Source organism: Homo sapiens, chromosome 18 (assembly GCF_000001405.40).
Source record: "Homo sapiens chromosome 18, GRCh38.p14 Primary Assembly".
NCBI classification, from domain to species: domain Eukaryota; kingdom Metazoa; phylum Chordata; class Mammalia; order Primates; family Hominidae; genus Homo; species Homo sapiens.
Window position 1 is genome coordinate 47,284,923 of NC_000018.10, and position 23,426 is coordinate 47,308,348.

At 42.4% G+C, this 23,426-nt stretch overlaps 1 long non-coding RNA gene across 1 annotated transcript in view; it reads left to right on the forward strand.

Moving 5' to 3' along the window:
• The first annotated feature begins 801 nt into the window (after positions 1-801).
• MIR4527HG (MIR4527 host gene) overlaps positions 802-23,426 on the forward strand; it is a 308,827-nt gene continuing 286,202 nt past the window's right edge. The window contains exon 1 of the long non-coding RNA NR_147192.1: positions 802-839. This is a non-coding gene — a long non-coding RNA (MIR4527 host gene). The remainder of the gene's footprint in view (positions 840-23,426) is intronic.

A 23,426-nucleotide genomic window follows, 5' to 3' on the forward strand; every position in this document is an offset into this window, starting at 1 on the left:
CAGCATGCAAATGTATTATAATTCCTAGTCCTAACTGCTTTTGGCTGGTTCCTTTGCTACATCCTGTTTTGATCAGCAGTGTCATGAAAACAAGTCCTGTTCATCTCCTACCTCTCCTTGCCCTTTCCACTTTTCTGCACACAGCAACTTTCACCTGCGCACCCAGGAATCCACACTTTAAGTCTTAACAACCTGAGGTGTTGTTGAGAAAAAACTACAAACAGTGGTGCGCTGGCAAATCTTTAACAATCACCTGGGGTGGGGTGGGGTGTGGATAAACAAGCCTTATTTGTAGCATATGGCCAATTTCAAGCTGCCAAAGTGCTGTCACTGAACGTGAAGTAGTGGGAGCAGGGCAGCAGAGGGCCACCAATCAGAGGCATTTCCACCAAACAGATGCAATTGGCATAAGTAACTGCAAGGGCACGGACAACCGCAAGGTCTGCTAAAAGGATTAGGAAGTGATGAGTTTTGAGTGTTTATTACTTTTGGTTTTAGTGTAACTTATTTGTAAGCTTACATAATTTAATGTCTAATAAGGGCAATGTTTAACAATCACTCATGAAATTCCTGAAAATTGAACTGATACGGTTTGGCTGTGTCCAAACCAAATCTCATCTCAAATTGTAATCTGAATTATAATCTCCACGTGTTGGGGAGGTATCTGGTGGGAGGTGATTGGATCGGGGAGGGGGGGATTCCCCCACGATGTTCTCATGATTGTGAATGAGTTCTCACGAGATCTGTTGGCTTTATAAGTGGTGGTTTCCCCTGTTCTCGCTCTTTCCTGCTGCCTTGTGAGGAAGGTACTTGCTTCTCCTTTGCCTTGTGCCGTGATTGTAAGTTTCCTGAGGCCTCCCCAACCATGCAGAACTGTGAGTCAATTAAACCTCTTTTCTTTAAAAATTACCCAGTCTTGAACAGTTCTTTATAGCAGTGTGAAAACGGACTAATACGTGAATACTCAGCTCTCCTGAGCTTATGCGAGTCAGCCCCAAGACAACATTGGCTATAAAGGAATGAAGCCAGCTTCTCGGTGTAGCAACCCGCCTTCCTAGTTTATAAACTTGTCCTGATTCTTCTGCATACTCTTTGGTGGAAACATAAAATATGAATATAGTGGAAAAGAGGGGCAAAAGATAAATGAGTTATTCTGGAGATAAACTTTCTGTGTAGTGGAAGTCTTAGCTCTGTAAGCTCCGAAGCTATGATGGTTTTAACTTTTATTGATGAACTTTGAAAAGAGTTGTGTTGCATTCTTTCCTACCTCATTACACGTGAGACATTATGGCTTATTACTTTTTTATGAAGAACCCAGGACATGTTGAAGTGTGCAAATCTATTTTCCCTTGGAATACATGACCTCAAACTGCTAGGCTGTTGGGGCCTTTGGACTTGCTTTTTAGAGTTTTGCTTTTTAGAGTTTTTTTTCTTGCTCACTTTCCAGAAGCTCTGACTTCTTTTTACTGTCAGTGTGTCTGCCTCTATCTTTTCCCTCCTCTTTCTAATTGACTAGAGAACTAGACTTATTAGAATCATTTAAAAATGTCAGTAATCTGTTGCAATACAGGCCTATTGAGAAAAACATGTAAATTTTAGTGCATGGATCTTGCGATATTTATTTTGGATGCTCAGATACCTTTTGCAATAACTTCTGGTTTTTGTAGAATTTCTGGAGAGGTGATATTACTAGATTACTGTGTTTCAGATCAGTGAGTATTGCTACAGTAATGTTGTTATATATAATTATATACTATATCACCATGCATGAATTCCATTATAAGAGGAAAATTCATCTCTGGGCCAGGAAATATGTCATGTAAAAAGTAGAGCAGTCCTGGACTGTATTTTGAGGAACCCAGTAACACTACTGGAACATGAAGTGGTCCATATGGTGAACTTTGCAAAATACAGTAAGACTTAAATGGTCAAGTTTGGGGCATGCCTCCTTGCTCTAAAAATGGTGGTGCTTCGTCTCCTTAAACACAGACACAGGCAATGGATGGGGAAGGGAGATCCAGTGATTGAGAGTTTTCCCCTGCTGGAGGCAGGGAGGTCCCTCCACACATCTGCCCATCCTGGGAGTGCTGCTTGCTGGGGCTGAGAAAGGAAGTAGATTGCACCTGGCAACCTGGCTCTGCCCTTCTCTGTGACATTGGGACCACCAGAAAGGTTCTTGGTATGATTTGGATTTGTGTCCCTGCCCATATTGAATTGTAATCCCCAGTGTTGGAGGAGGGGACTTGTGGGAGTTGATTAGATCATGTGGGGTGGATTTCCGCCTTGCTGTTCTTGTGATAGTGAGTGACTTCTCATAGATCTGGTTGTTTGAAAGTGCGTAGCACCTCCCCTTTCTCTCTCTTCCTCCTGCTCCAGCCATGTTAGACTTGCCTGCTTCCCTTTCACCTCCCACCATGATTGAAAGTTTCCTGAGGCCGCCTCCCCAAGCCATGCAGCCTTGCAGAACTGTACAGCCTTGCAGAACTGTACAGCCTGCAGAACTGTGAGCCAATTAAACCTGTTTTCTTTATAAATTACCCAGTCTCAGGTATTTCTTTATAGCAGTGTGAGAACGGACTAATACAGCCCCCTACCCTTGTTTCACCAGCCCGGTCATTCCTTTGCATATAACTGAGAAAGAGACGTTAGGGCATTGTCCAACTGATTTCAAAGCAGTGGTTTTCCATGCTTCTGTTGTCTTCTCCAGCTGCAGGAAAGCAGCCTCAGTGCTGATGGAGGAATCAGCCTCTTCCATGCAGAAAAAGGACTCCCCACTGTAGTTCCAATATCTCCCTCACAAATTCACCTCTCGTTTCTTTGGAGCCTTCGAGCTTTTGGGAATTCTCAGGTCTAGTGAGGGAGGCCTCATTACACTTCCTTAAGCCCTTATTAACTCCTTGAGGAGACTCATGTGATGAGCTGTGGCACAGAAGCCAGGTCCAGGGTTAAGGTGCTCTAAGGGGAGCAATTGCCAGGAGATGAGAAGCACAAAGACAAACTTTCTTTCCTGTGCTGGCCCCGGGCTGTATGCTGTTGATATCATTTGGGTAACTTCTATGAAGTCTCTGAGCTGGGGTCACCCTACATGGGGCAGCAGGGAGCCCAGTAGCAAGGGTTTGCTCCCCTACAACCCCCCTCATGAGCCTAATTAACAAGTTGGGTCCTTTCCAGCTCCTTCTGGCGGTTCCAGCGGGGCTGGGCTCCACTGGGGGTGGGCAGACAGTCTTACTTTAAGCAGGGTATTGATCCTCACGTGGTCCTGGTGCCCCTCTTGGGGGAGCACTCTCGTGTTTTAAGTGCATGCAGTTACTCTCTTGACTGGCTTGTAAACAGGTTTTAATGGGGCTATTAGTGTAAAAGGACAGGAAACTTTCAAAAACAGGCTCTTAAATATTCATGAGGATGTTAAATCTGGTGCTTAATCACCAGTGTTTGTACACAGCTAACAGGGAGGGAGGACAGCTAACAGGCTGCCTTCACTCTGAACAATTGACAGGGCATTAATAAACGCTCTTACAGCCATGATTAATGGCCCAGAGAACAGGACTTCTTTTTTTTTTTTTTTTTTTTTTTAAACAAAAGGAGCCTCTGTCCTTTGGGGACTCCTGTTCTTGGGGGAGTGTCCACGTGGGGATGGGATTCAGGGGAACATGGAGGCTGGACAGAACAAAGTCCCTTCATAGTCAGCTGGACTCCCCTTCTGACTGTCTGTTTCCTGGAGCATGGCTTCCACAGGGGAAACTTTTAAACTTAAGCAGAGGCTCTCAGGAGAATTCCCTACCTGGAGAATCCTTAACTCAACCTTGAGAAGACCCATGAGGGAGTCACATGGCTTGGTGAGCTGTGACCAGCTGCTTCCTCAGAACCTGCCTCACATCCTTTCAGACTTGAGTTAAATGCAGGTGAAGATGGTTGACTATGGCCCAGAGGTCTCTTGCAAGCAGCCCCACCTCTCCCCACCTTTCTAAGGTGCATTTTAATTTCTGGAGAGGCATCTTTCTCTAACTTGTCTCTGTGACATTTAATGTAGAACCCCTATTGGAAAGTGAGTGGGGGGACTGCTTTTTAATTGGTAAGTGATCTGCACTGTTAAGCTTCTGGAATGGACCTTGGAGATTTTCTAGGCCAGTCCCCACTCCTTCCAGATGAGGAAACTGAGGCACAGAGAGGTGAAGCAACTTGTCCAAGGTCAAATACTGAGGGAGTGGCAGAGTTAGCACTGGACACTGGATACCCTGAGTCCTGGTCCACGAACTCTTTTCATGGTACCCCTGTACCAGTGTGATGTGACTTTTCCAGGTAGAGCCAGGGAACACCCCACTGACTTCCTTCAGAAGTGGTACAGGCTTGAAAGCCTGCTCAGTCCCAAGCATGGCAAGACTGTGCTAATAAAACCAAAGCCAGGTTAAGCACAGAGTCCTGGGAAACATCTGTTTCTGTGTGGTGGGAAACCCCAGCCTCATTATCTGAGACCAACTCAGAAATTCAAACCTGTTTCCTCCCCACAAGTACCAGTTGGGATTTTCAGTTGACAAGTTCCATTTACAAATGAAATCAAGGTGACCTCCCCTGCATAAAGTAAAATCTATAAAAGCTGTCTTCATGGATCTGGAAAAACCCTACTGTGTTTTATAATGGTAGATCAGGGCAAAGAAGTCGGTGTCTTCCACAATACCCTTCTCAGCCTCCAGCCCTTACTGCCCACATCCCACATGCTTCTATCAAGCCTTTCCTGTGCACAAGCCACCGAATTACAGGTTGTGGTGGGGAGGGATGCCATGAAGATGTATAGCAAGTGTCACTATCCCCAAGGTACTCTTCCTCCAGCTAGCAATTTGACTTTAGGGCTGTGTCAGAAAACCAAATGCAGTATCTGGCTGAGTATTTTTGCAAATATCACTTTAATTATCTCATACTACTGCTCAAGAATTCAGTGGTTCCCACTACATCTGGGTCCCGCCCAGGCAGGCTCTCCTCTGCATGGCCAGGTTGCTTCCCCTTAAAACCAAACACATCCTTTCTTTTGAATCAGTGGAGCAGGGCACAGTCTACAGACAAGATGGATATGATTCTTAATCATGAGTTTGTTCAGAAACTCAGTGCAACTTTTTTTTTCTTTATGGAATGCCAACCAGGAATGAAAAATCAGCCTCTCTTGCTAAACAGTTTGCGTTAATGACTTCCATCAGAGCCAATCTATTGATTTTTTTTTTAAACAAAACTCCACTTGTCTCTTTCATCTGGATATATAGCTGGTAGGTATTGTTGGTAAAGCAACCAATGTGAGAAATAGTTTCCTCTTCAAAATTAGAATGAATGTATTTTGACAGTTTTTACCAATAATTGTTTCAATGTTTGGTACAAATGCTGAGCACAGATGAAACTTAAACCACAGTAGAATTGGACTATTTTCTCAATGGAAGGTTGACTGTCAGTTGTATGAAGTATAAGGATGGATTTCTATGTCTTGTTAAGTTACTAAACTGATACCAAATGTTAGACAATGTAACATTGATTTCACAGAACACAACTTTGAATTGACATTATGCCTCTTATAGCAAAGTCTTCTATTATATAACATTGTTTTTGGCTGGTTTGTTTAATCAGTCAAATGTAGTAGGATTCAGCATGGTTCACTGAAAACACTTGTACCAGGATGTAGGAAATTTAGTGCTACTCCTATTAGTCCCATTAAATTATTGTACCCATCTTCCTCACCTGTAAAATAGGTATAGAAAAAAGGACACATCAATCTGTTGTTTCAAGTGAAGTAATGCATTTATCTACTTGCTGTTTCCATTCGATATCTCCCAGCCATCTTAAAATGAAACTTTCCCATATTGAACATAGAATCTCCCCCTGCAAACCTAGTCCTTCTCTAGCATTCTCAGGTCAGTCATGGCATCACAAACTACTCAGGTGCTTATGCTGGAAACTGGAATCATCCCCCAACCCATTGTAGTGAATCAATAACACATTCTATTCTGTCTTTTAAGTAACTCTCAAATCTATTCCCTCCACTGAGCAGCCTAGTCCAAGCCATTTCATCTCTTGCCTGAATGAAGACAGTTACCTTCTTACTCTTCTGCCACACCCACCATTGTCTCCTCTAGTTTGTGTACCATCCCCACCCCACACAGCAGCCAGAGCTATTCTTTTAAAATGTAAAGCCACTTGCATCCCTCTCTTAATTATGGCTGTCTATTGGCTGTCTCAGACTGGGTACATGGCTCATCAGGCCATGACAGTCTTGTCCCTACCTTCCCCTTCAGTCTCAATTTCACCCCAGTCCATTCCAGCCACACCACCCTCTTCTGTTCCTTCTATGCTGCTTTTAAGACCCGGAGCCTTCACACAGACACTTCCTCTGTGGGAGGCTCATTCATCCCGTCGTTGCCTGGATGACTAATCTTTCGGACTTCAGGAGAGATACCAAATGCTAAGAGGAGACTTCTTTCTTTCACTCGCATTCTCCAGTAACATGGATTCCTCTCATCACTGTATTCTGTAGCATTTGTTGAAACTATATTTCAAATATTTAGTTGTGGAATTATTTGGACTGTAAGCTCCATGAGGTAAAAAACTGACCACTTTGTTTACCCCTGTACCCTCAGTGCCTTGACAAAGTGCTTGTCACATAGTAGAAAGAGAACAGGATGGCCACATACATGAATGAATGATTAAACACCCAATGCCAGTACAAATCCAAGTTATTTTCATGCTTGTGTTCACGGGACACCAAATTAAGTGGAGAGATAAGATGTATCTAATGAGCTGGAAGTTGTGGGGTGGTAAGAAACTCGTGTTGAACTAGTTTAAATATTAAAGGGGAGTTTATTAGTCCCTGTAGCCTAACTATAGGAAGGGCAGGGCTGGAGTTGGCTACAGGTGCTCCAAAGATGGCAGCCAATTTCTCTCTGCCTTTTATCCTCTGTCTCTGACTCTCTCATTCTTGCTTGCCTTCACTCTTTAATGCAGAGAGATTTCTCCATGAGGTAGAAAAAGAAAAAGTGTGCATACAGAGCCCCAGATTCACAATTTTTTAGTCTTTCTTGCCAGGAAAACCTTCAGGAGGAATTCTGATTGACTCTTATTTGGGCCACAGTCTCATTGCTGGTCACTGTGTCTGCTATTCCCACTGTGGCCAAGGGGATAGAGCCATCACTAGTCAATCCCAAAGCTTCTGAGGCTAGAGTCTATTATCAGAAGGGTAGGCTGGCATCTGGAGTTGGGGAAAAGTCCCAGGCAGTTAAAGACAGTGGCCACCATAAAGTATGAATTCTGCAGGAACAGAGACCAGGTAATATGGGTTGCAATGTTCATAGATTGAGCCTCGATTTTTCTGGCTCCTGATATAGCTTAGGTTCATCAGAAAACCTGGAGCAGAGGCAGCTTTACCTGCTCATAGAGTGGACAGCCAGCCTCTTGAAATTCTATGAAAGAAGTCATTCTTTGGGGGTAGAATGAGAGTCCTCAATAGAGCCAGTAGCAACCAGCTCTAGTCCAAATATTGTTCTCTCTTATTTTTGGGAAATTAGCAGTGGAGATTATAGACATGAAAAGGCAATGGGGATCCTTCCTGATGGCAGTTGAATTAATAGGTGAGGAATTTGAAATATTCCCACCAATCCTCCATAGCCTGATTAAATGCTCTTCTTTCCCCCCACAAGGACTAATAGTTAAAGTCCTATTCATAGAACTCTTATGAGAATTCAGTGAGCTAATACACATGAAGCCCTTAGAATGGCACTGCACACTCTAAGCACTCAGTAAGTTTTAGCTATTATCATCATGGTAAGACAAGAGGGAGACTATGAACACAGTGGCTACCAAAAAAAGATGTCACAACCTCTTCTGACGTCTGCATCCCCTGAGTCTGCATCCATATTTCACTTGACACATGTAACTTTTACTTTAAGAACTTGCTTGGGAACCAGACTATGGGAATTTCTAGTCCAAAACCACTGTGCTGGGGCGGGGTTATCTAGGTATGACCATTTTTCACCTGAGTTCCTATAACAGCTTTGCAAAATTTAGATTGTGATTGTAACATTCTGTGCTGAATGCTCACTGCTAAAGCCTGTGAAAGAGGGTTTTCCCCAATCTCCTCCTGAGAGATTCTGAGTCAGTAGGTCAGGGTGAGCGGCCCAGGAATGTGGATGTGTTCAGTGGTTCTCCTCTCCTGCAAGTGGTTCCAGAGACCATGGTTTGAGAAACACTGGCCCAGAGGAAGGAGAAGTAGGGAAGGGAAGAGGTGAGATTAGGAAAATGAGCGGTGCTTATTCTGTAGCTGGGTTCACAGAGATAGGGAGCTACTCAATTACTTTTCAAAGTCCCAAAGTGTCCCCAGCCAGGAAGAGGGCTCCCCGATGTTTCCCTCATGGGTCAGCCAGGTGCTCTCCCTTTGGGGTGAGTGCCACATAGGTGTGAGGTGCTTACCATGCCCACTGGTCCACTCAGCCTATGGCCATGGGTGCCAGTGACAAAGTCACAGCTCTGCCAAGCCCCAAACTAAGTACCTAATCACTCGTGAGGAGTGGAGGCCAGAAGTCCCATGGGAGGAATGTCTTTGTGAGCATCATGGTGGATGCTCCCCTTGGGTCCTTGTCCCTGCACATGAAGAAATTTCCAGGAAGGTTCAGGAATAGATTTTGAATGGTCATATGCAATCCCAAAGACCCTGCCCTTTGGACAGGAGTTGGTGTGTATTAAGGCAGCCTGTCAGGAACATGCATTACTAACTCTTATGCTTTTGTATTAAGCATTATGTTTCATCTTTACAGTCAGATTAATGGAGATTAGTGATTCCACTTAAGAGTTTAAACATCGTGCTGACCCAAATTGTTGGAGCCATCATAACATGGGGCTCTATGTTCAAGGACTGGACCAGCTGGTAGTGGAGTGGGGGAGGGGGAGGTCTATATATTTTGCAAAGTGATTTTATTTTTCTGTGTAAGAAAGCTGGGGTGTCTCTTTATACGTAATGCATATGTGATCCTCCCCTGACTTTCTGCACACTTAAATGCTCATCAGGCCAGTCTGATGATATTCCTTTGCTAAGAGGACACTTAATAATCAACGGTCACTCACACTTGGCTTCTGTGGGTGGAACCCAGTCCCTAAAGTCTCCAATGGTTTCATTAATGTATTTTATCCGTTCGAAGGATAAAAATAAATCTCTCAAAGGCTCTTAGAAACCTGCCACCCTGGATGTAGGAGGAAAAAAGAGGGCGGCTGTTAATTAATAAACTTAAACCATCTCCGCAGGAGTACACAGCTGTGATCCAGAGAACATAGGAAGCAAGCTCAGCCTTCCTGTCAGTTATGAGTTACTTTTTATTCATTGGACAGACATAGTAACTCTGTGCCTATTATAAACAAATCAGTTGCAAATTTTGCTTTCAAGTGAAGTGTTTTGTTTTCTCAGCAAGCATACTCAGGGCAGGTAAAATATCCTTTTACATATTCTCAAAAGGGAAGAACTTGGAAACAGTCAAAGCCTATTTGGAACCAAATCTGGTGAATAAGATGTGTGATCAAGCTGGGGAAGGGCATGTTAGGCCAGAGACAAGGTAATGAGACAGTTTCTTGGTGTGGCCAGCCAGACCCAAACACTGGCTTTGTCACAGAGATTTACAGTTCCTAAGTGCTTTCATCTGCACTGTCTTATACTATTATGACAATAATCCTTGAGAGAGGCAGGGCTGGCATTTTCACAAAATTATAAGTCAAGCCATGACTCAAAATAGGTGAGCCACACTTTGCTGAAGTGAAAGTTCTGGGACACTGTAGCAGATTACTTCTTCAGAAGTCCTGGCCACTAGTCAGCAGTGTGCTTTTGGAGCAATTCCTTTCCTTTGCAGAACTTCTGTTTTCTCATAATGTAAAAGTGAGGGTGAATCATTTTTTCCCAATCTAATTCTATGATTCTATGAAATCTAGGCTACACCAGTATGTCCAGGACCTCTCCATAAACATAAGCAGAGTGGCCATTAGGAGCATGCGGGTGGGGCTTCATCTTCTGCTTTGCCGACAGCACAAGGTCAGGTTGAAAATGGGCTCTGCTGCACAGTCCATGGTGGAATCCAACAGGACCACACCAATGACCAGCAAATCTGCACGCTTACCCATGTGTCTGCACCCATCCTCCTCCAGTGGAAGACACATCCAACCCATCAAATGAGTGCAACTCAGCCTCTTGCTTTTCAGGGCCTCATTCATTTGTTCCCCACTGCCCATCTCCCTCTTTCTGCACACCCTCACATTCTCCTCTCCCTCTACTGGTTCCTTCTCACCAACAAGTGAACAACCTGCTCAAGTCTCTGCCATTTCTTTTATTTAAAAAAAAATAGAAAGTGGGGATGAATAAAACAACGTGTCCAACACCAGAATGAAGTTTTAATATTTGCTAATCTTTATTATTATTCTGTCCTTACCACCCCCACCCCTTCACCTTCCTTTCTTCCTCCCCAGAGGCAGGCAAACATTGAATTTGGCATGTATCCTTCAAGTCCATGGTTTCATACTTTATTATATACATGTGAATAATATATGGTATGGTCTTGTGTGCTTTTGGACCAATCGACGAAAATGTTTTCCTACTATTTGTGTCATTTATTATTGATATGTTTGGACTTGTTTCTATTACTGTAATGCCCTCTGGTATCTCTTGTTGCTAATGAGAAGTCTGCTCTTAATCTAATTGTCATTTCTTTTTCAGTAATCAGTTTTTGTTTTCTGATAGCTTTTAAGATTTCCTCTTTTTCCTTGATGGTTTGTAGATTAGCTACAATGTATATAGTGAATGAATTTGTTTTTATTTATTCTGCTTGGTATTTACTTATCTGAAGACCAATATCTTTCTTCAATCAGGGAGACATTGTAAACCACTATTTCTTTGAACATTTTTCCCTTCACCATTAATTATCTGTGTTTGGAACTCCTCTTTTTCACACTAAAATTATCTTTATTGTTTTATGTTGGGTGAATACCTTAGTGCAACTTTTCAGTTCACTAATTCTTTATTTGACAGTGTCCTGTTTAGAATTATCCTGATTCTTGGGTTAATTTCAGTGACTGTCTTTTTTCTCCAGCACTGCTTCTTGATATTTTTGTTTCATAATCTATTTTTAACAGCTTTACTGAGATATAATTCACATACCATGCAGTCCACTCATTTAAGGTGCATAATTCAATGGATATTGGTATAATACATAATTTTTAAAAAAGTGTGGTAAAATATGCATAGCACAAAAATTTCCCTTGTAGGGGTGACAGAAAGTAAAGAGTTGGGGGGCAAGAGCATGCCAACATTTAAAAGAGGATTCAGGGCTATGCCTTTCCCAGAAGAAAAGGTTGGGTCAAATCCCAGAAGAAGATGGTGGAGTTAGCTATGGAGATCCCAAAAAATAAGACCATGGGCAGAAGAATGTGTGGGACAGCCATTTTCCACTTTGAGCACCATTGGTATCCCATGAAGGGCTATGTAAACACAGGGATGTTGATGCCATTGGTTCTGGATGAGCTTTGGGAACCACTGGGCAGAAGAAAGGCTCAGAGTCTGCCTCACATCTTCCAGAAACTCTCAGGAGGTCACTGTGGCTGGAGTCAACAGTGCAAGGAGAGAAATGGAGGTTGAGAGGCTCCTGGTGGCCAGGCCCTGCAGGGCTGGGTAGACTTTAGTCCATGGAGGAGGCAGTGTAAAGTCTTTGGTGGTTGACAGGATATCCTGTGGGTTCCAAGGGCTGTCTTTGGTGTCTGTTGGCAGCCAGACTGTTGCCAGACTGTCAGGAGCATAGATCTTTTAGAAGGCAATGATGGATGGTGTTGATTTGAACTGAGGAGGTCTCAGTGAGATGGTGAGTGGTCGGATTCTAGGTCTGGAAGTTGAACCCAAAGGAGTCCCCACAAGAACAAATGCAGGCTGTAGTTGTACCAGTTTGCCAGAGCTGCCATAACAAAATACCACAGACTGAGTGGCTTATACAATATAAATTAATTTTCTTATAGTTCTGGAGGCTAGAAGTCTAAGGTCAGTGTTGGTTTCTCCTGAGGCCTTACTTTCTCCTTGGCTTGTGGACAGCCATCTTCTTCGTGTGTCCTCACGTGCACATCTCTCTGTGTGTGTCAGTGTCCTAATCACAGGACACAGGGATACCAGTCCTGTTGGATCAGGGCCCACCCATAGGACCTCATTTTACCTGAATCCCCTTTTTAAAGACCCATCTCCAAACACAGTCACATTCTAAAGTCTGTGGGTTAGAACTTCAATATGGGAGTTTTTCATTGCGGTAAATATGTGTGTATATACGTATGTGTCCACATACATATATACACACACACAAATTTATATATCATATATGTGATTTATACTTTTATATTTACCTAACAAATGATAACGCAAGTTATATTAAATACATATTCTTTACATTTATATATTTACATAATATATTAAATATATTTATGTATTAAATATATATCTATATATAATACATTAAAAATGTATTATACATTACTTACATGCCACAAAATTCACTATTTTGACCATTAATACATTTTCATTGTCATTAAATGTACAATCCAGTGGCATTATGTTTACAATGTTATGTGCCCATCACCACCATCTATTTCCAAAACTTTTTCATTACCCCAAACAGAAACTTTGTACACGTTAAATAACTCCTCATTCTCCTTTTCCTCCTGCTCCTGAAAACCTTTCATCTATTTTTTGTCTCTACTAATTTGCCTATTCTAGATATGTCTTATAAATGGAGTCATACACATTTGTTCTTTTGTGTCTGGCTTATTTCACTTAGCATAATTTAAGGCTTATTCATATTGGAGCATGCATCATCATTCCTGTTTTATGCTGAAGAATATTCCATTGTATGTATCTATCATATTTTGCTTAACCACTCATATGTTGATGGACACTTGGGTTATGGTGAATAATGCTGCAGTGAATAGTGGTATACAAACATGTGCTCCAGTATCTGCTCTCAATTCCTTCCGGTATATACCTAGGGGTAGGATTTCTGGGTCATATGTTAATTCTATGTTTAGACTTTTGAGGACCCACCAAACTGCTTTCCATAGTGGTTACGCCATTTTATATTCCCATCAGCATTGCTTGAAGATTCCCATTTTTCCACATCTTTGTCAATACTTGTTATTTTCCACTAAAAAAAAAAAATCCAGCTATCCTAGTAGGTATGAATTGGTATCTCAGTGTGGTTTTGATTTGTTATTAACCGGATGTTTGTGAGCACTGCACCCCACCTCCCCACCACCTCTGACCCCTCAAGCCCTAACCCTCAGTGTGGTGGCATTTGGAAATAGGGCCTCTAAGGAAATGATTAAGGCTAAGTAGGGCTGTAAGGGTGAGGCCCTGCTCCTCTAGGATTAGTGTCCTTATAAGAAGGGATACCAGAGAGCTCATTTTTATCTCTCTCCATGCATGCATGGAGGAAACGCCAGGTGAGGACACAGAAAAGACAGCCATCTATGAGCCAGGAAGAGGGCCCTCACCAGAGCCCAGCCCTGCTGTACCCTGATCTCAGACTTCCAGCTTCCAGAACCGTGAGAAAACATATTTCTGTTGTATAAGGCACCCAGTTTGTGATATTTTATTATGTTACCCCTAACAGATGAATACAATTTGCATTTTCCCAATGACTAACATGGAGCATCTTTTCATGAGCTTATTGGCTATTTGTATATTTCTTTGAAGGAATGTCAGCCCAAATGGCCCACTTTGAAATTAGATTGTCTTTTTGTTGAGTTGTAGGAGTTACTGTTTTTTGTTTCATAGTTTCTTGTCTTTTTATTATAGATTTGTTATAGATGTTACTTCTTTTTCTCCTCCAAATCATTGCTGATTCTACCCTCCTGGTGCATCCTGGATGCTGTTGTTGATGTCCAACAGCAATCATCTCTCCTTTCCTCCACCAGTCCTCTGTTCTTACCTATTGTCTCTCTTCCTTGAATCCATTCTCCACACCAAAACAGAATATCAAATCTATCATGTTGCTGTTCTGTCACTACTCTGCTCAAAGGCATTCAGTTGATCTCCAATTCTTTTCAGTAAGTTTTGAATTCCTGTACATGGCTTTTAAGGGCCTCCGTAATTTGCCTTCTATATACCTCTACCCTTCCAGCCTCATTTCTTGTTATTCTCCCTCTGAAAATCTAGAACATGTCTCTGAGTCTCTCTCTACAAGGCTTTGCGTAGAAAGCTCTGTTTGTACTGTTTTGTAAGAAATTACCAAATTGTCTTTCTTGCTCATCTGTGGCTTTGCAATAGAAGAGGTCCCTCTACTTTTCTATGACCTCCTTCATAAAGCACCCCAGATGCCCCCATGACAGTACTTATCACATTTGGTTATCATTGCCTGCTAAATTGCCTCTCTTCCCCAGGTCAGAGCAAGAGTCTGTCCTCTTCTTCAATGTGTCCCCAGCATTTAGCACAATATTTGGTACATAGATACCCAGTGCTTATTATTATCATTAGTGGTATTATTCCCACCCCATTGAATATTCCTTTTTTTTTTTTAACTTAATGTGTCTGGCAACGTGTAGCCTCTGTGCCTTTGTTCCTGTTATTCTTCTGATGGGATGTCCCTCTTCATTTACAATTTTCTCCCTAACATTTGATTATGACAGTTTTCAAGCACATAAAAAATGGAAAGGATACTAGTTGATTCCTATTCTTCACTATCTACATGCTACAATTAGTATTTTATTTGACTTAACATGTGTATTACATCTATCTTTTTTTTTTTTTTTTTTTGAGGCAGCATCTCACTGTCACCCACACTGGAGTGCAGTGGTATGATCATGGCTGATACAGCCTCAAACTCCTGGTTTCAAGCAATCCCTCTGCCCCAGTCTCCCAAGTAGTGGAAACTAAAGGCAGGCACTATGACACCTGGCTCTTCTTTTTTCTTTTATAGAAACAGGGTCTTGCTATGTTGCCCAGGCTAGTCTAGAACTCCTGGCCTCAAGCAATCCTCCTGCCTAGGCCTCCCAAAACATTGAGATTACATGTGTAAGCCACTACACCTGGCCTATCCATTCATTAATTCATACTTGCTTGGGGAGTGTATTTCAAAGCAAGTTTCAGACTTCAGTATACTTCTAACCTAACCATTGCAGCATGCATGCCACTTATTTATGTTTTTAGATAGAATTTACATACAATAAAATGAACAAATCTTAAATGTATCATCTTATGACTGTTACCAATGCTTACAACTGGGTATTCCAAACCCCTATCAAGAGCTATAGCATTGTTACTAACCCAGAAAGTGTTCTCAGACCACTTCCTGCACTGCCTCCAGCAACTCCCAGGCCAACCATGGACAACGGTTTTTCTGATTTTTTTCCTCCATGGATTAAATTAGTTTTGTGTGTTCTGGAACTTCATTCTTTTATTAAGATCTTTTTATTTCCCTCTATATAATGTTATTGAGATTCATCCATGTTGCTGCATGCATCAATATGTTTTTTTTTGTTATTGTTACTTGTTTTTTCCTTTGTTGTTGTTTTCCATTGTATGACTACAGCACAGTTGGCTATTCATTCTCCTCTTGGTGGACATCTGGGCTCTTTCTAGTTTTTGACTACTATGAATAAATTCTTGTACAAGTCTTTTTGTGGACATGTTTCCATTTCTCTTGGGTAGGTATCTGGGAGTGAATTTCTGGGGCATGTGATAGGATTGTTTTGTTTTGTAACTGCCAAACTGTTTTCCAAAGTGGTTGTACCATCCTCCATTCTCACCAATGACATGTGAGAGTTTTGGCTGTTCCATATCATTGTCAACATTTGGTGTTGTCAGTCTCTAATTCTAACTATTCTGGTGAGTATATAAGTAGTATCATATTGTGGCTTTAATTTGTTTCCCTGATGACCAAATGATGTTGAGAATTTCTTCACGTGCTTATTAGCCATTGGTATACCTTCTTTTGTGAAGTCTCTGTTGAAATATTTTGCCTATTTTTGAAAGTCAGTTTTAATGAGGCATAATTTACATACAGTAAAAAATCATCTCTTGTAGGTATATTTTCTAAGAATTTTGCAAATATCTATAGTCATACAATTACCACAATCAAGATATAGGACATTTCTGTCACTGCAACAGTGTCCTTGCACCCTATATAGTCTATACTCACCCCTTTCCACTTGTAACCACTGATCTATTTTCTGTCCCTAAAGTTGTGCCTTTTCCAGAATGTCATACAAATGAAATCAAATGGTATGTAGGCCTTACAGTCCCATTTTAATTTGGTTGTTTGTCATCTTATTGAGTTGTAGGAGTGGGTATATATTCTGGATGCCAGCCTTTCATCAGACATGTGTCTGATGAATATTTTATTTCAGAGTGTGATTTGCCTATTCTTTTTTAGTGGTATTCTTGGTAAGCAGAAATGCTAAATTTTGGTAAGTTCCAATTTGTCAGTTCTTAAATTTGATAGTTATTGTTTTCTGTGCTATGTGTAAGAAAACTGACTGTCCACCATAGAAGAGATTTTTCTATGCTTTCTTCCTGAAACTTTGTTTTAACTTTTTATATTTAGTTCAATGATCCATCTCAAATTAATTTCTGTGTATGGTGTGAGATAGGGGTCAAGGTTATTTTTTTCCCTAGCCCCCTCAGTCAAAAACTAACCTCTCCCAGTTCTCCCATAGCATGTTATGTACTGGGGGTAGACACTCATCATTTCCATCTTCTGTTATGTACTTTTTATTTTTTGTGGACTCATTGTTTCTTCAATTGGACTGAAAGTTTCTCGGGCAAGGGTCACATATTTTATGTAAAGAAGCAGATAGAGTAGTGCTAATGAAATATGTTTTGGGGTCTGGTGGAACCAGGATTGAAAGCAGGTGCTATCACTTGCCAGCTGTGTAAACCTGAGCAAGTCTTAGAATGCACGTAGGGGCTACTGTATGCCTGGCATGAGGCTAGGAAAGAGGTCATAAAGGTGAATGCAGCTCAGGCAGGTCTTGAGGGGCCCCACTCGTGTGTAGGGGGTATGGAAAAAGTAATTATTAAACAATGATCCAAATGCTGTGACAGAAATATGAATAGGTGGTTAAGGGATCAGAGAGGGTGGGGAATGGCTTCCTGATAGAGGTGAAGCTCACCTTGAATTTCAGTGGATGAGAAGGGTTAGCCAGGCAAAGGTAGATGAGACAGGGATTCCCTGGTGGGGACAGCAGCAAGAGCCGAGGAACTGAAGTGAGTTTCCTTGATGGAAACAAACAAATTACACTTCATGGAGTTGTTGTGAGAACATTATGAGCTAACAAACGTGGCGTAAGGTTGCACTGTTTGAGACATATTAATACTAAAAAAAGTACGTATTGTTTATATGAAATTCAAGTTTAACTGGGCATCTTGTATTTTTATTTGCTAGATCTGGCAAGCCTAACGTGATGGCACTCAGCACAGTACCTGATACATAGTTGGCACCCAAAAAGATATATGTTAAATTTAACTTTAAGCTGTTCTCCTCTGGAATAGAAGAGAAGGGATAAAACTGAGAGATAAAATCTGAAGAGGAGCAATAAAATAGAAAAGGCAGAATTTGGTGCTTGATATTATTGAAAATTTTCCTTTCAGCGGTGATGGCATTTCCTGGCAAGAATAAACTTTGTCTTTAAATAAGTCTCCCTTCATGGTTAGAAATGCTCCTGGAAAGAAATGAAGGAGTCCTTCCATGTGAGCAGTGGGTGTAGTTTCGGGGCCAGGGGACCAGAAGGAAAATATTGTGCATAGTTTTGCTCCAGGGCATGTCATGTAAATGTTCCTTCTTTCTTCCTTGTTGTCTCAGGAGTTCTGAAAATCCAGGTATTTCTTTTGCAGAAAACACTTGGGCACTGAAGTGCACCCCCCACCCCCTACCCCCGCCCCACAAATCTGTATGGCTTGGTTTCCCACCACACTCCAAACCTGGGCCCCCTTGGAAGTCTGAATCATCTTACCCTACCTTGAGCCACCCTGAGGGCTCCGCTCCCAGGACCATGCCTCCTGACCCACTGTCGGAGGGGAGTCAGGGCGCTCCCAGCCTTAGGTGATATGGCTGCGTCTAGATGTGCTTAACAAATTGCCTGTTCACTCAAGTACATTTTATTTAATCACCTGTAATCATATAAATTATGCCTGATGGTAGTAAATGTTCATGTCAGTTCCTAATTACAGATTGATTAATTGGCTGGGGTGATCTGTATTACTACTTATATAAGAATATATGAGGTTGATGATAAATTAGGGCTGGTAATCCGAGCCCGGGAACATGGAATATTTCCAACTGCATCCCCCTTTTTGGGAGTGGGGAAGCCATTGCCCTTTTCCTATCTTGTTCCTGTCAGAGGCTTCTGGGAGGGTTTCTCTTCTATGGATTGATTGATTTTGGCAACACTTGAGTCAAGAAATACTATATTATTTAGGTAATATACATAAGCGTTTGTGTAAAATTTTTGCCATGCAGTGCTCCTTTTTGGCTGTAGCAGAGATGAATAATGACAAGCTCATTAAGTTCAGTTGGGCTCATTACAGCCTGCTGGGCCCAGAAAGTTCCAGGGGTTGGATTTGGCCTAGAGAGCAGGAATCCAGAGAATGAAGACACGAGGCATTTGATCAGTGTCTACAAAACCAGTCCTTATTAGGTGATTACGTCTTTTTGTTTCCTTAGAAGCTAGAGTGTTAAATGGTCCAGAATGTACCTTGCACTTTTTTATAGGAACATTAGACCTTGGTGGATGTCTTTCAGGCAACTTGCCTGGGATGTCTAATAGTTAGTTCTCAGCTTTTGAGAACATCATTTACTTAGAACAAACTCTACTTCCATCATCTTTGCTTCTCTCCCACTCATACTTCGGGTTAAAGGTAAAGAGGAAGCAACATGGGCTAAGACATGTGGGAGGAGGGAGGGAGAATCTGAAAACACAGGGGTGGACCCTGGTTTCAGGGAAGGGGCCTGAGACTTGATCCCAGGTTCCTTGGCCTCTGAGAAGGGATGGGCAGAGGAAGAATGGCAGAGAAACCTGTGGGAGTTGAATCCTCTGAAGATGCAGCATCCCAGGGGCTTGTTACTAGAGAGAACCATCAGCTGACCTCTCCCCTTGACAAGCTACCATGGGAGCAATGATTTATTGCCATTGAGGGTCATGGGTGACCTTCTTTTCTTGGGGATTTTTTAATATGGTGATTGTATCATACAGCATCATGCCATAGAGCACAGCCTCTGCCTGAGTTCCAGTCTTAGTTTTACCACTTAGCTCTGTGATCTCGGGCAAGTTACTTAGCTTTTCTATGCCTCAGTCTCCTCCTGTAAAGTGGGGATAATGATAGTCCTACATTATGGGGTTGTTGTCAGGATTCAGTGAGTTAACAAAGATATGGATGCTGAGAACACTGCCTGATACATTGGACACATCAAAAAATGTGGGGAGAGAGCTGTTTTCGTTATAAACTAATGTGATCTCAAAACAGCCCTGGGGATACACTAGGGTGGAATACTAAACTCCTTTGTTGGGTGAGACAACTGAGTCCCACTGTAGTGAACATCTTGCTTCTGGACAACAATTTAAGTAGTGTAGTGGTAAGGTTGGGGCCAGTCGTGGTGGCTCATACCTGTAATCCCAGCACTTTGGGAGGCTGAGGCAGGCAGATCACCTGAGGACAGGAGTTTGAGACCAGCCTAGCCAACATGGTGAAACCCCATCTCTACTAAAAATATGAAAATTAGCTGGGCATGGTGGTGCCTGCCTGTAATCTCCGCTACTTGGGAGGCTGAGGCAGGAGAATTGCTTGAACCCAGGAGGTGGAGGTTACAGTGAGCCAAGATATCACACAACTGCACTTCAGCCACTTCAGCCTGGGTTACAGAGCAAGATTCTATCTCAAAAAAAAAAAAAAAAAAAAAAAAAAAAGTAGTGGTAAGGCTGGAACTAAAACCTGTGTCCCCTGACTCTCATCCTTAGTGTGAGAGGCAATGTCCCTGCAGACAAGGCCAGTAGTATTTGTTCAGAGGATTCCTAGTGTCCACACTTGCATGGAAAAATCTTGCCTTTCTTTTAGCTTCCTTGGTCTGAGAACTCAACTCTCATCTGGCAAAAGCAGAGGCTTCTCTTGAGTGAATGTATTTCTTTCCCCTTGATTTTCAATTTACACTTTCCCCAACTTGGTAAAATGATCAATCTACTTCTCCTCACTAATACCCCATGATATGATACAGGGGCCAAACTGGGCCTTCTAACTTCCTTTATGAGTTAACACTTTGAGTGTGTTAGGGTTTTCTTTGGGACTCCATTTGAGGCAGCTAATATGTGGTGTGACTGAGAATATCACACAACTTAGGACCAGGGAGCCTGACACCCAATGCCAGTTTTTATCACTAGGGAGCTTTTTGCTGCAAGTAACTGCAAGTAAATGAAAATAAACTAAATTAAACTTAACACCTAATGAGGTTTTTTTTTTTTTTTTTGTTTGTTTTTTTTTTTTTTAAGCTTATGGAACAAGGTATCCAGAGTTATGGCAGTTCCAGAGGTGTGTGGTTCAGCAGCTCAATGCCATCTCAGCCTCTGCAATCTGTTTGACCTACCCACCTTACCAGGTTCCCCCATGGCCACAGATGACTGCTGTGGTACCAGACATCACATATACATTAAGTGACTCCCAGAAAAAAGATGTTTCCTCCCATTTGCTTCTTTATTGGCTGAAGTTTCTCAGCTGACATTTTCTCAGGTCCTACTGCCCAAGATTGGATCACATGTTTGCCCTAAACTAATAATTGTTGAAGGGACTGAGACAACTGTGATTGGTCTAGACCTATTATGATTGATTCCTTGGTGGTCTGAGGAGAAGGGCCACCTTTCCTGAACATATGGCCTGGTAGGAAGTGACACCGAAACAAAATGGAAACTGTCAGTCACAAAAAGTAGATGAGTGTATATGTGCAGGGTTAGAGGAAATTTTTTTTTTTTTTTTTTTTTGTGGAGTGGGTAGTCAACAGTGTCTGCTCTGGGCAAATCACACAAAGTCCCTGAACGGCAGGAACCAAGAAAATCCTGTCAGGTCCATAGGAACAAAGATTAAATTGCCCCAGAAGAAAACCACAATAAGTAAGGCATATCTCCAATATAACTTTGGTTTTTATTCAGCTCTTCTCATTTTGCTCTTTATAATACCTTGCAATGAGAGATGGCTTTCACAACTTTATTCTGCACATCACCTGGAGGTGTCAGATGGTAAATCTGTAAACAAACCACACACTATTTTGTGATATACAGGGGAAGTATGGAGTCTCCATTCTCTACTCCTTCTTTCAAATGGGCCCAGTTGACACCATCTCCAGCTTCAGAGGAGGATCCTCATGACTCCTGGCTAATCAGAGCCTGGCATCCCCTTGGCTGTGGTAATGGGTCTGGAGATGGGCAAGTTGGCCCAATCAGATTGAAGGAAAGGACTGCTGTTGCACCAGGGGAAGATTCTTTTCCCCGCTCCTGCTGTGTGGGAACGAGGAAGCACCCAGCTCTACTGTCCCTGGAAACCATCTTGTGAACACGAGGGGACAGATATTATATCTGACAAGAGGAAGACAGAGCTGAGCAAGGGAAAGACACTAGGGCCTCAGCAGCATCATTGAGCTGAAGCTGGGGTCTCCACCTTTGATCTTGCTGAGTAAGATGACAGTTTTCCTTATGACTTAAGTCAACTTGAATTGAGGATTTTGGCTACTTGCAGCTGAGAGCATCCTTATTGAAACAGGAATCAGTTATTTTCTTTTACAAATGAAGAAACTGAACAAGAGAAAGGAAGTGAGCTGCCTCGGGTCCTATACCCAACAGAGTGTTGGATAACTGGAAGCTAAGTCTTTTGACCCTGAGGTGGCTTTTTTTTTTTTTTCTACCCAATTCCCTCCTATCATGGGGGACTTCTTATCAAGCAAAAGTTATCTTGAGGTGCTCTGGGGAGTCGGAGGGGAAGGGTGAAATGTTTCCTAGGGCACCAATAGGGTCTGGATGGGAAATCTAATTCCTTCTGGGTTGGCTGCTGGCTGCCATCTGGTCGTAGATAATTATTACCCTGCCCTTTCTTTGTCTAACTGGCTCTGCAGTAGGAACAATTGATTCCAATGAATTGTGCTGGTAAACAATATCTTCTGCTTCCTGGGGGCAACTTATAAAACAAAGGATGAGGGTTCCCCCACTAAGAGGGAGGGAGCAGGGTGGAGAAGGGGCATAGACTAAGGAGCCATGGTAACAGGCACCTCTGAGGTTGGTCATGGGGAAAAGTCAGGCTCGGGTAGACCCAGCAGCTGGAGCCATTGTGAGGTTGTTCTGAGGGCCACACCACTCCATCTATGACACTGTTAGTTTCAGAAAGGAGCTCACTGGTAGAATTCCCGTGGCATAGAAGTTGGTCTGTGATGCACACCAGCTGTAACCTGGCTGATCCCAGGGGGAGCTCTGGGGCTAAAATGGCTCATCAGAGTTGTTCCATATTAGGTGGAAATAGCCTGGCCTTTACAGTCCTACCTTCATTTGTCATTAGATATGGGCTGCCCTTGGAAGGATGTGACTTGGGGCCCCGTGGCTCTCTGCAGCCGAAGTGATCCTGGAGGGGCTGACAGCAGAGGGCTGACCTATAACTGTGTTCCTGGCAGCTGTGTCACTAGTCATTCTTGAAAGGGGATCTGGGTGGTGCATCTGTGTTTATCATACCTTTCCCTACCAACTACTCACTGAGAATTTCTCATTTTGGATTTGCCTCCTTAGATTCAAGGTAACACTGCCTTGAATCTCATGTCATACAGTAACTACTGTATGGTAACTTAGTCTGTATTGCCCAAATGTGTATTTTTGTGGGAGTTCTGGGGACTGTGACTCCACCTCCTTGCCCAGCCATGGTGCTGTCATAGGAGTGGGGCTTCTTGAACAGGAGACTGTTGCACTATCTAGGTTTATGCCTCATGTCTGCTGTGAACCCTGGTGGCAATGCGATGCTCAGCAACTAGCAGCCCACCTTAAGTCTTAGAGGCCACCTCTTGGCTTCAGAAGGGCCTATCAGGCTGGGAAGTGGTTCTGGCCCTTTATGGATGGATGGTTAGAGTCAGTGCTGTTATCACTATGTAGCATAATATATATTTTACTGACTGGCTCTTGCTGGGGCCAGAAGTGGGACCCAACCCCAGTCTGTGATGCAAGTTAGTTGCAAAGCCTGACTTTGTCTCTTTTTCCCCATTTATAGAACACAGATAATATCTTCTTTTTGTGGTAGAAGACTATTGTGAAAGCAAATATAGTAACAAATATGAAAATAAAAAGCCTACAGAATTGTGAAACAGTGCCACTATCATGTCGGTTATTATCAGAAGTGGCTGCTGAACTGCATGGAAACAATACTTCATATGCCTTGGCTG